General features: G+C 42.3%; 1 protein-coding gene across 1 annotated transcript; it reads left to right on the top strand.

Moving 5' to 3' along the window:
- The first annotated feature begins 379 nt into the window (after positions 1-379).
- OR7A10 (olfactory receptor family 7 subfamily A member 10) lies at positions 380-8836 on the top strand. The gene is made up of 2 exons (NM_001005190.2): positions 380-802; positions 7413-8836. The coding sequence occupies exon 2, from the start codon at positions 7425-7427 to the stop codon at positions 8352-8354; it is 930 nt and encodes a 309-aa protein (NP_001005190.1). The 5' UTR covers positions 380-802; positions 7413-7424; the 3' UTR covers positions 8355-8836.
- The last annotated feature ends 5095 nt before the right edge of the window (positions 8837-13931 follow it).

Here is a 13931-nt window from a genome sequence, read left to right as displayed (position 1 = left end):
TAGCTACATGAGATAATGCATATATTAATTAGCTAGATTTAACCATTCCACAATGTATATATACTTCAAAGCATCATGTTGGACACCATAAATATATACAATTATATCTGTCCATTTAAATAAATAAATACTTTTTTTAAAAAATTAATGAGATCACTCTTATAAGGTGCTAATCTAAGGGTAACTTGCATGAAAAGATGTAAATGTATCTCTTACAATTATCAAATGTTTTATAAATGAAGGATTAAATGACGGCTCTTAACCTGTGTTCTTACCACAAGTCAATGCTTTGGAGACTCAAGGGGCTTAGTCAAGAAAGATTCCTCAGTTTAAACTTCGGAGGAAACTTTCCCTCAGGGTTGGAGGGAAGTGATGGGAGGTTAGACCTTTGGAAGGCAGACAAATCCATGGAGAAGGAATAATAACGACTCGATTCGCCTGATGTTTAATCTGATGTCTTGGGAACTGAGTATGCAAGAAAAAAATTTCTTTCCATGAAGAGCAATGTCCCACAGGGACTGAATGTGATCAGGGGTTGAATAACAGGAGGAAATGTCTCCAATGAGCAGGCATATGAAGCTGTAAATTTCTCCGCTGCAGGTGTCCCTCAGCATATGCAACCTTGGGCTGGATGGGACATCCTTGTTTCTTTCGGAGTCTATATCTGCTGGCTCAGGGGTACTGATTCTTTCCTTTCTCCTACTGTCTTGTCTTGGGACACAGCCTCAGTCTCCACCATCAACCATCCAGGGAGGAATTTGCACTTCTAGATTGAGACCTTCATTTCAGAAAACCCAACAGGGTGAGTCCAATAGGTACCGTAGGAAAGGATCAGGGAGATTGCAAGTTGTGAACATAGACCCGAGATCTCGAAAGAGCCAATCCTAGCTGCAACAGAGTGGAGACGCTGCTGTGGGTATTTGCTTGGTGAATGAATTGATTCATATCTTCATTTATGAAGCTAAGAAGAGAAGTGCATCTTGAACTCAGCAATGGAGAATGATAGCCGACAATCAAGTAAGGGTAATAAAAGCCCAATTAGAAGAGAAAATGTGGGGTCTAAAGTAGTTCCAGTGAAAGCAGAACATCTGCCCAAGCATCACTGCAATTAAGTGGGAAAGAGAAGTAGGGTATTAGCTATGGGGGATACGAAAGGAAGTGAGGGCATTTTTTTTTTTTTAGACAGAGTCTTACTCTGTCGCCCAGGCTGGAGTGCAGTGGCACAATCTTGGCTCACTGCAACCTCTGCCTCCCGGATTCAAGCAATTCTCCTGCCTCAGCCTCCCAAGTAGCTGGGATTACAGGTGCTCACCACCACACCCAGCTAAATTTGGTATTTTTAGTAGAGACAGGGTTTCACCATGTTGGCCAGGATGGTCTCAATCTCTTAACCTCGTGATCCACCCACCTCGGCCTCCCAAAGTGCTGGGATTACAGGCATGAGCCACCTGGCCCCGCCAATTTTTCATTTTTAAGAAGGGCATATTTGGTCCGGCGTGGTGGCTCACGCCTGTAGTCCCAGCACTTTGGGAGGCCGAGGTAGGCGGATCACAAGGTCGGGAGATCGAGACCATCCTAGCTAACACAGTGAAACCCCATATCTACTAAAAATACAAAAAACAAATTAGCCTGGCGTGGTGGCGGGCGCTTGTAGTCCCAGCTACTCGGGAGGCTGAGGCAGGAGGATGGCGTCAACCCGGGAGGTGGAGCTTGCATTGAGCCGAGATCGCGCCACTGCACTCCAGCCTGGGCGACAGAGCGAGACTCCATCTCAAAAAAATAAAAATAAATAAAAATAGAAGGGCATATTTGAGTTTGTTTCCATATTGATGAGAAAGATCCAGACCAATAAATTTTTTCCAACTACTACCTGGCAACAGCAGTTTATGAAACGTACAGTTTTCAGCTGCTTTTCTTATGCTAGGTATTCAAATGAATTAAAATTTTATTTAAGAGTTGAAAACTGGTATATTAATGGCCTTTACTTTGCAATTTTTCCTTACTGGTAAGACTGACTACATCTGTGTTTGTCAGACATTTATCACTCTGTTGGAAATTATCTATGAAAATTCTTGGCTTTTGTATGATGGATTCAAAGTGATTTTATTCGTGTTTTTTATTACATTCTTTAACATATAAGCTTTGGAGTTTTTGCCAATTTTGGCATTTGTCATTTAGTTCTTTTATGTGAGTTATTACACAAGGAATGTTCTTATATGTACTTTTTTCTTAGCTGTTTTATGTTCTTTTGTGTAAGTTTCAATGTATTTGAGAGGACAGTGTGCAAGTTTAAAAAGCTTGTGTAGCCAAATCCATCCATCGGTCACATTGTGTCTCCCTAATTGCCTTATAAATGTAGAAAGTTCTTCTGCATCTTTTGGCTGAATAAATCACCTTCTATATATAAATTTCCAACTTCTTTTCACATCTCTGTCATTCCTTATTGTGCCTTTTAGCTTTTTGTATTCAATCCATATCTAGAAGTTGTGTCACATTTATATCTGTCATAAACATGCTTGAATCCTTACATCTTTATATAAGATCAAATTATAACCTTAGACACTACTTCCTTTTCCTTTTTTTTTTTTTTTTGAGATGGAGTCTCGCTCTGTCACCCAGGCTGGAGTGCAGTGACGCGATCTCAGATCACTGCAACCTCCACCTCCTGGGTTCAAGTGACTCTCCTGCCTCAGCCTCCCGAGTAGCTGGGATTACAGGCACCAACCACCACACGCAGATAATTTTAAAAGACTTCCTGTCATATTCTTTAGTTTCCATGACTGGTAGTTTAATCTTAAATTTGTAACCCATTTTGATGTTATTAAATTATTACTATTTTATGTGATTATATTAAAATTTTTTCAGATTTTCATTCTATGTTGCTTTAGACAGTTGTTTTGAAACCACTGTGCTTAACCTAATTGCATTTTAACTGTCATTCCTTGTTGTATAAGTTCGTTTCTTTTAAAACTTCTCTTTCTATATTATGCACACTTTTGTATTCATACAACACTTATACAAACACGTAGACAAAATCCTATGCATATCACAAATATGCTATATTTTAGTGCAGTTGTTTTTAGCTTGTCTTCTCCTTTCCTTTCCTATCCTATAAATGCTACAAAAACATTTTGGAATTTTTTCTTTAAGACGGAGTCTTGCTCTTGTCACCCAGGCTGGAGTGCAATGGTGCGATCTCGGCTTACTGCAACCTCCGCCTCCCGGGTTGAAGCGATTCTCCTGCCTCAGCCTCCCGAAGTAGCTGGGATTACAGGTGCATGCCACCATGCCAGGCTAATTTTGGTATTTTTAGTAGAGATGGGGTTTCACCGTGTTGGTCAGGCTGGTCTTGACTCCTAACCTCCTGATCCGCTCGCTTCGGCCTCCCACATTTTGGAATTTTTATGTTAAAATTGTCGTTCTCACTTGAGTGGGTGGCATGATTTTGTCCCCCAGGGGACATTGAGCAATGACATATTTGGCTTTCACCCTGTAAAGGTCAGCAGACAACAGGGACAGACCCCACCACAATGAATAATGTGGCTTAGAATTTAAGTAGTGCTGAGATTGAGAAAACGAGTGAATGAATATCTGTATTTTTAGTATTTATAGCTGTATCCAGGTGTATCACTTCACATTTATGCCAGCAAAATTAGAGTTTCCCTTCTCTCCCTGTTTGTAAGTTCCAACCCTACTCAATGTGGTAGCTCCTTAAGTTTTTTCCCAGGCTGATGCGTGTGACAGAGATTTCTTGTTGCCTTAAATTATTGCTTGGTTTAAGCAAAATTCATATATATCACCACCATTTTCACTTGTCTTTTTTTTTTGAGATGGAGTCTTGCTCTGTTGCCCAGGCTGGAGTCCAGGGGCGCAATCTCAACTCACCACAGCCTCCGCCTTCCAGGTTCAAGCAATCCTCCTGCCTCAGCCTCCCCAGTAGCTGGGATTACAGGCGCCCACCACCACGCCCAGCTAATTTTTGTATTTTTAGTAGAGACAGGGTGTCACCATGTTGGTCAGGCTAGTCTCAAACTCCTGACCTCAGGCGGTCCGCCTGCCTCAGCCTCCCAAAGTGCTGGGATTACAGGCGTGAGCCACCGTGCCTGGCCTCCATTCCTTCTTAATAGTGAGACTAGGGGTGAGAAGAGCAGAGGAGTAACACAGCCCTAGGAGGCCACGATGTGATGCACATGTGTATGCATTGTGTGTGTGTGTGTGTGTGTGTGTGTGTTTGTGTGTGTGTGTGTGTGCACCTCTAGGGCGAGAGGAATTTTCAGAGAAAAAGAACCTGGGACCAATATATTCCAAAAGGCAACTTGTAATTAAAAGACCAGAAGTTGGCCTGGCATGGTGGCTTACGCCTATAATCCCAGCACTTTGGGAGGCCGAGGTGGGCAGATCCCCTGAGGTCAGGAGTTTGAGACCAGCCTGACCAACATGGCGAAACTCCATCTCTACTAAAAATACAAAAATTAGCCGGGTGTGGTAGCAGGCGCCTATAATCCCAGCTACTCAGGGGGCTGAGGCAGGAGAATCACTTGAGCCCAGGAGGCAGAGGTTGCAGTGAGCCAAGATCGCACTGCTGCACTCCAGCCTGGGTGACAGAGTGAGACTCCATCTCAAAAAAAAAAAAAAAACACAGAACTCAAGGCAACAGTGAAAAACAAAGAGGAGATGCATTTCAAATAATGGGACACCTTTGCAACCAAATTACCAAAGTGCAAATGCAACAACATCAGGACCGAGGAACTCCTTGTGTTATCAAATTTCAGCATTTAGGAGGTCACCTCATTCCTCATCATCCTCTGACACCATCTCCCATCCCTCTCTTCTTGCTCATTCTCTCGCTACACTGGATTCCTTGTTAGCCTTGAACATCTGCCAGAAGCACATTCCTCAGCGTCTTTCATTGATCTTTCCTTCTGCCTGGCACACACTTCTGCAGGGAAGGTGGTCACTCTGACCCTGTCTTCTGTTCCATTGTCACCTTGTCTGCTGGTCTTACAGGAAAGCAAAGTAAAAACTAACACCTCATCCATGTTTTCTTTTTTGCCTTCTTTCTTTACTTTGTAGGAGCTGTCACGCCCTGATGTAGTATAGGATCTGTCGTCATCTGACATAGTATAGGATCTATCATCATCTGACATAGCATGTGGTATTTTACAAATTTACTTGTATTTTCTCTGTGTTTAGAGCATAGGGACTTCTGGAGGGGTTTTTTAAATTATTCTTTAAGTGCTGGGATACATGTGCAGAATGTGCAGTTTGGTTACATAGGTACATATGTGCCATGGTGGTTTGCTGCACCCATCAACCTGTCATCTAGGTTTTAAGCCCCGCATGCATTAGGTGTTTGTTCTAATACTCTCCCTCCCCTTATCCCGTACCCCCGACAGTCCCCAGTGTGTGATGTTCCCCTCCCTGTGTCCATGTGTTCTCATTGTTCGACTCCCACTTATAAGTGAGAACATGTGGTGTTTGGTTTTCTGTTCCATTCTCAGCAAACTAACACAAGGACTTCTGTTTTATAGCACCACTTACTCACTGTCTAGACAGCATCTGGAACATGTCGAAATTCACTTGATATTCCCCAAATGCATGAAAGATTTTTCTCCCTAAACTTGTAGAGTAGATGCCCTCAGAGAAAGGCTGAGAGTGGGAAGGAATTCAGAGATGGCAAGGGGATCTCCTAACGGGGACCAGATTCACAAACAATATAGAAATTAACTTCTTGTAGAATGGAGGCTGGGGGAAGTGGAGTGGGGAAAGTTAGAAAGATGTTGGCCAATAGACACAAAATTCCAGTTAGACAGGAGGAATAACTTCAAAAGATGTGCTGCACAGCATAGTGACAACAGTTCACCGTGATACACTGTATTCTCAAAAGACACTAAAAGGGTGAATGTCAAGTGTTCTCCTCACAAAAATGATGACAAGGTGACGTCATGTAGATGCTAATTAGCTAGATTTTGCCATTCCACAATGTATTTGTACTTCAACACATCATGTTTTAAGTCCTTTGAGAAATCACCAAACTGCTTTCCACAGGGGCTGAACTAATTACATTCCCACCAGCAGTGTATAAGTTTTCCCTTTTCTCCACAACCTCAGCAGTGTGTGCTATTTTTTGACTTTTCAATTATAGCCATTCTGACTAGTGTAAGATGGTATCTCACTGTGGTTTTAATTTGCATTTATGTAATGATTAGGGACGTTGAGCATTTTTTAATATGCTTGTTGGCCGCATGTATGTCTTTTCCTGAAGTGTCTGCTCGTGTCCTTTGCCCACATTTTAATGGGGTTGTTTGTTTTTTGCTTGTTAATTTGTTTAAGTTTCTTATAGATTCTGATATTAGACCCTTGGCAATTTCTCAAAGAATTTAAAACAGAACAACCATTTGACCTACCAATCCCATTACTAGGTATATACCCAAAGAAATATAAATTGTTCTACCATAAGGACACATCCACACTTATATTCATCACAGCACTATTCACAATTACAAAGACATAGAATCAACCTAGACGCCCATCAACGGTAGACTGGATAAAGAAAATATGGTACATATATACCATGGAATATTACGAAGCCATAATAAAGAACAAGATAATGTCCTTCGCAGCAACATGGGTGTAGCTAAAAGCCATTATTCTAAGCAAACTAATGCAGGAACAAGAAACCAAATACCATATGTTCTTACTAATAATTGGGAGCTAAACATTGAGTGCACGTGAACACAAAGAAGAGAATAGTCCAGGTACATGGCTCATGCCTGTAATCCCAGCACTTTGGGAGGCTGAGGCAGGCGGATCACCTGAGGTCAGGAGTTCAAGACCAGCCTAGCCAACATGGCAAAACTCTGTCTCTACTAAAAATACAAAAATTAGATGGGCGTGGTGGTGCCTACCTGTAATCCCAGCTACTCGGGAAGTTGAGGCACAAGATTCGCTTGAACAAAGAGACAGAGGTTGCAATGAGTTAAGACTGCACCACTGCACTCCAGCTTGGGTGACAGAGCGAGACTCCATCTCAAAAAAGAAAACAAGAGAATAGATACTGGGACCTATTTGAGGGTGGAAGGTGGGAGGAGAGTAAGGATCGAACACCTATTACGTACTATGGTTATTACTGGGTATTGAAATAACCTATACACTAAACCCCCATGACATGTTACCTGTTTTACAAACCTGCATATGTAACCCTGAAACTAAATAAAACTTTTAAAAACACATCATGTTATATGTGATAAATACATATAATTTTATCTGTCAACTTAAAAATAATTTTTTAAGAAAAAGATATTAACTTCTTGACTGTGGAATATAAATGATAACATTTCTGATAGTTTTGGAATGCATGTTTGTTTCATGTTCTTTCACTCTCTCTCTCTCTCTCTCTCTCTCTCTGGTAGTCACATCACAAGATGAAATCATGGAACAATACAATAATTTTAGAATTTCTTCTCCTGGGAATTTCAGAGGAACCAGAATTGCAGGCCTTCCTCTTTGGGCTGTTCCTGTCCATGTACCTGGTCACTGTGCTCGGGAACCTGCTCATCATCCTGGCCACAATCTCAGACTCCCACCTCCACACCCCCATGTACTTCTTCCTCTCCAACCTGTCCTTCGTAGACATCTGTTTTGTCTCTACCACTGTCCCGAAGATGCTGGTGAACATCCAGACACACAACAAAGTCATCACCTATGCAGGCTGCATCACCCAGATGTGCTTTTTCTTACTCTTTGTAGGATTGGATAACTTCCTTCTGACCGTGATGGCCTATGACCGGTTTGTGGCCATCTGTCACCCTCTGCACTACATGGTCATTATGAACCCTCAACTCTGTGGACTGCTGGTTCTGGCATCCTGGATCATGAGTGTTCTGAATTCCATGTTACAAAGCTTAATGGTGTTGCCACTGCCCTTTTGTACACACATGGAAATCCCTCATTTTTTCTGTGAAATTAATCAGGTGGTCCACCTTGCCTGTTCTGACACCTTTCTTAATGACATAGTGATGTATTTTGCAGTAGCGCTGCTGGGCGGTGGTCCCCTCACTGGGATCCTGTACTCTTACTCTAAGATAGTTTCCTCCATACGTGCAATCTCATCAGCTCAGGGGAAGTATAAGGCATTTTCCACCTGTGCATCTCACCTCTCAGTTGTCTCCTTATTTTATGGTACATGCTTAGGGGTGTACCTTAGTTCTGCTGCCACCCACAATTCACACACAGGTGCTGCAGCCTCAGTGATGTACACTGTGGTCACCCCCATGCTGAACCCCTTCATCTACAGTCTGAGGAATAAACACATAAAGGGTGCTATGAAAACATTCTTCAGAGGAAAGCAATAGAAAGGCTATTTTTCAAGAAAGGCCTGTGACTTCAGAGCTCTAAGCCCCAGAGCCAGAAATGGTGATTTGTTAATAAGATGGTGGAAGGAAGACTTGCCCCTTCCATTTATTTCCTGGAGTTTAAACTTCTTTGTTCCTCAACTACTTTATAGAGCTTACACTGTTCTTCTTAGAGTCAGAGATGACCTTAAATATGACGGAATATAATTTTCAATCATACATGAAATAACTATGGAATATTTGTTTTCGTTGGGGTACATCTACTCATTGAAGTAGAGGAGCCTGGTGTCCACGCGTCACTAGGTTTGTTCATCTGAGTGAAGGATTGAGTGCCATGGTGTATGTAATGTCCTTGCATCACTCTGCTACTTCTGCCTAATGTTTTCCAGTGCTGCCTACAAATATGACTCCTTCCATTGTCCTAACATCTCTTCCTTAAAAATGTCATAAGCATCAAAGTGTTGACAAGTGAACAATATATGTATTTACTTTATCTTCAGTTGTTTTGTCTCTTTTATACTCTAAACACTCTTCAACTCTCATGATCAAAGGATGACTCACACAAGAGCTCGAATTTCTACCCAGTGTTGCCTCTGGGAATAGAGACTTGTGATTGAAGGTCACAGTTCTTTCCTTCAAAAACATATGTGTTATTCCATGAAAGGACTATATATGCAAAGCAGTTCCCAAGTGCAGAAGGATCTGAGAAGTCAAAGGACAAGGCAGACAAGCCAGTTTGTTGGGTAGGGTAATTTACCAGGTAAACTTACAGACAGAAGCATGGTCTTAGGTGGCCGCAGGAAAAGTGGATCTCCACACCTCCACCACCCCAGACCTGGGGCTTATATCTTGGAGGAAACATTATATGTGCTCTGGAAGGAATGTGTAAGCAGCTACAGGCATCGCAGCCTATGATGTATGGAAGAACACCAAGGGTTGTTTTGGAGGAAAGGCAAAAATTACAGTGAACACGTATTTCTATAAAAAGAGTAATCCATCAACTAGACATTTTTGGAGGCTTTTCTGGACTCAGCGTTACTCAAAAGTAACCTGGTGGATTAGCATGTGAAAAAAAGTCAGTGTTTTCCCAACATATTTACTTTCAACCTCTCCTAGCTACCTGAAGAAAATCTAATAGGCAGTCTCATTTTAATACAGTTATCTGAAATAAATATGAATAACCAGGTAATCATAAATATTTCCTTCAAATAACAGAACAAAGGTCCAGAACAAAGAAACATCAGATTATTCTGAATCTCTTTAGTTGTGTTTGCATTGATTATTGTATCAGTAAGCTACTACTGCATAACAAGTCATCCTAATAGTGAATGGTTTAATGTCATGCTATTTTTTAATCACATAGGAGGCAATGTTGGAGAAGTTTTAACTTTGGGGACTTGGGACATACGAATTTTGGAAGGGACAAAAATATTCAGTCCATAGGGCTATCCAAATCAAGTTCTTGACCTTTGGACAGCAAGGACAATTTGAGAGAAGAAGCTCAAGAAAAGTGATGGAATCTCTTTTTTTTTTTTGAGATGGAATCTTGCTGTGTCACCCAGGCTGGAGTGCAGTGGTGCAATCGCGGCTCACTGCAAGCTCCGCCTCCTGGGTTCACGCCTTTCTCCTGCCTCGGCGTCCAGAGTAGCTGGGATGACAGGCACCCGCCACCACGCCTGGCTAATTTTTTTTGTATTTTTAGTACAGATGAGGTTTCACCATGTTAGCCAGGGTAGTCTCGATCTCCTGACCTCATGATCCACCCACCTCAGCCTCCCAAAGTGTTGGGACTACAGGCGTGAGCCACCGTGCCTAGCCAAGTGATGGAATCTCTTACAGCTTCTTCTCAGGCATTGGACATTTCAGGACTATTCACATTTAGCTGAAGTCACATGTCCAAGTTCAGTGTCAACTATTGAAGAGCTATGTTCTCCTTACAATTGAGGCACCCTTAAGACCCAGAGTCCATAGTGGTGATTTACAGTCCTCCTACAGAGAATAGAGGAGTTAATAAATAATTGTAAAAAAAAAAATTATCCTAGAAAGAAACAGACACGCAAGAACTTCATACTTCTGTTGGCAGCAAACATTTGTGAATTACATGCTGTGGAGGTGGAACAAAAAGGATGAGAAAATTTATAGAAATAATTTGATGCAACAAGAAATAGCAGCTTTGCAAATATTCCCAAGAGCAGAACAAGTAAAGTGGATTGAAAGAGTCTAAAAATTCTTGCTGTGGTTATTTGGAGTCAGCATTAGAGGGTCAGAGGCAGGCCCAGGTGCGGTGGCTCACGCTTATAATCCCAGCACTTTGGGAGGCCAAGGCAGGCGGATCACCTGAGATCAGGAGTTCGAGACCAGCCTGGCCAACATAGTGAAACCCCGTCTCTACTAAAAATACAAAAAATTAGCCGGGCGTGGTGGCACAAGCCTGTAATCCCAGCTATTTGGGAGGCGGAGGCAAGAGAATTGCTTGAACCTAGGAGGTGGAGGTTGCAGTGAACCGAGATTGTGCCACTGCACTCCAGCCTGGGCAACAGAGGAAAACTCAGTCTCAAAAAGAATAGGGTCAGAGGCTACATCCTTGAATATAACAAAGCATGGAATGGTGGATTCCCCACATTCTGACCCCTCCTTGAGTCCCTGGGATGAGGTCTCCCTTCAAGATCACAACTAGCTGTATTCCAGGAACAGGAACAGGGTAACACTAGACTCACATCCTCTCGCAAGAGACATTTCTGGTGTCACAGTGAGCTAAGTAAATGCAAAACTGAGACAATAACAATAGCTGCTATTGATCGAACAATTATTCTGTTCCAGTAACTTTCCAAGCATTAAAATATTGCTTACTTTTCACAATAACTTCATAGGATCGATGAAATTTCCAGAACTTATAGATAAGAAATGAAAGTTCTAAAAGTTTCATTTCCTATCATGAGGGATTTACTCAAGAGACACATGTAAACTTGTATATGCAGAAGCTAAATGTGAGTTTGTTTTCTGCTACTATAGCAGAATGCCTGAGACTGGGCAATTTATAATGAACAGAGATGTATTTGGCTAATGGTGAAGTGGCATCGTTTGTCTGGGGAAATACTCAAGGTTCATTGTCCTGCTCTAAGGAAAATGAAGACGCAGATGCACGAGGTGTGGATTTAATAGTGGAAAGTTTAATACATGAAAGAAACAAGAAAAAAGCTCCCTTATGTAGATGGAGGCGGGTTCCAAACAGATCTCCCTGTTGCCCATGGGATTCGGTTGGTTTTATAGAGGGGCTTGAGGAGGTGGGGTCTGATTTACATAGGGCCCAGGGGATTGGTTGGACCAAGTGTGTCATTTACATAGCCTGCAAAGAGGCTGGCCATCCCACCCCAATTGTTTATTATGCAGATGGGGTTTTTACCTGGCCAGTGCCATGACACCATCTTGTCTGCTCCTTACAGTGCACGTGGCTGGCAGAGAAGGGAAGATGGAGCCACCATCTTGAAAACGTCTAGTCCTTAGTTTCTGCCAGCATTCACCCATGCAAACTCCCAGCTTGCTTATCTATGTCTGCAGCTCAACTTTACAGGCTGCTCTTTGTTAGAAAATGATTTGAGGCTGCTTTTCATTAAAAGAGAAAAGCCTTACTGAGGACTCTCATGCCCTTGCTATCTGCCTAAGTAATTCCTTCTTAACTCCTATATCAGGAGGCACCTAGTGGGAGCTAACCGAATCGTGGGGGCAGTTTTCCCCATACTTTTCTCATGGTACTAAATAAGTCTCATGAGAGCTGATGGTTTTATAAGGGGTTTCCCTTTTCACTTGATTCTTATTCTCGCTTTGCCTGCTGCCATGTAAGACATGCCTTTTGCCTTCCACCATGATTGTGAGGCCTCCCCAGCCATGTGGAACTGTGAGTCCAGAGTCCATTAAACCTCTTTCCTTTATAAATTACCAAGTCTTGGGTATGTCTTTATCAGCAGCGTGAAAACGGACTAATACACATGTAGAATCTCTGGACCCCATCCTAGACCTGATAAATTAGAATCCACATTTGAACAAGATCCAGAAGCAATTCATATAAACTTTGAAGCTGGAGATGTTCTGGTCTAGAATAGTGTTTGCAGCTTCCTCCATGTTAACATTTGTGCTGGATTATCATTTGTGGTGGGGGTATCATTTGCATTGTTGGATCTTGAACAGCATTCTCAACCTCAACCCCCAGGTGCCAGTAACATCTTCCTAGTTGTGACAACTAAAGTTTTCTCAGATATTTTCAAGTGTCCTTTGGTGGCAAAATCATCCCTGCTTTTTGTTTCTTTGTTTTTGTTTTTTTGAGATGGAGTTTTGCTCTGTCACCCAGGCTTGAGTAATGTCAGCTCACTGCAACCTCTGCCTCCCGGGTTCAAGTGATTCTCCTGCCTCAGCCTCCTGAGTAGCTGGGACTACAGGCGTATGCCACCATGCCCAGGTAATTTTTACATTTTTAGTAGAGACGGGGTCTCACCGTGTTGGCCAGGCTGGTCTCGAACTCCGGCCTCAGGTTATCTGCCTGCCTTAGCCTCCCAAAGTGCTGGGATTACAAGTGTGAGCCACCACATGCAGCCTCATTCCTGTTTTTAAACTACTGGCCTCAAGCATGAGAACTGAAAACATCATGAAGGAGTTTCAACCATTCATCCCTTTCTTGGTTTATAATGTTGAGCAGATCACTGAATCTTTCTGAGCCCCATTACTGCATACGTAGAATGATGCTCATGACAGTACCGACCACATAAAATAAACATTTATAAACATTAGATAAAATAATCCTTATAAGGTGCCATTCTCAGGACAATGTGCATAAAAGGGTCTAAATATATCTCTTGTAATTGGTACACATTTTATCAATGAAGAACTAAAAGACAGTTCTTAATTTGTCTGACAAGCATTAAATTACAAATTGTTTTGGTGAAAACATCATGAAGCCAAGGAGTACAGCCAAGCCATGATTTATATCAAAGGAACACAGTACTCCCTCTAGTTGAAGAATGAGATGGAAATTTTCAGATGTTGGGCCAGGCACAGTGGCTCACGCCTGTAATCCCAGCACTTTGGGAGGCCAAGGCGGGTGGATGACCTGAGGTCAGGAGTTCGAGACCAGCCTGGCCAACATGACAAAACCCCTTCTCTACTAAAAATATAAAAATTAGCTGGGCATGGGGGTGAGCACCTGTAGTTCCAGCTACTCGGGAGGCTGAGGCAGAAGAATCACTTGAACCCAGGAGGCGGAGGTTGCAGTGAGCTGAGATCACACCACTGCACTCCAGCCTGGGTGACACAGTGAGACTCCGTCTCAAAAAAAAAAGAGAAATTTTCTTATGGTATCAGAGGCTGTATTCCCACAATAAGTCGATGCTTTGGAGATTTAAGGGGAGTAGGCAAGATGGGTTTCTCAGTCTTAGATGTGAAGAAAACTTTGTCTCAGGATTGGGACAGTTGTTACAAAGTTAGACTTCTGGAAGAAAGGAGAGTTCATGTTGAAAGAGTAAGAAAGACTGGTTCATCCAGTCTCTTGGGAACAGAGAATCTGCAGGATTTTTTTTCTTTCTGTGC

This window comes from Homo sapiens, chromosome 19 (assembly GCF_000001405.40).
Source record: "Homo sapiens chromosome 19, GRCh38.p14 Primary Assembly".
Taxonomy (NCBI): domain Eukaryota; kingdom Metazoa; phylum Chordata; class Mammalia; order Primates; family Hominidae; genus Homo; species Homo sapiens.
The sequence above is the reverse complement of the archived record's forward strand: the minus strand, read 5'-3'. Positions and strand labels throughout refer to the sequence as shown.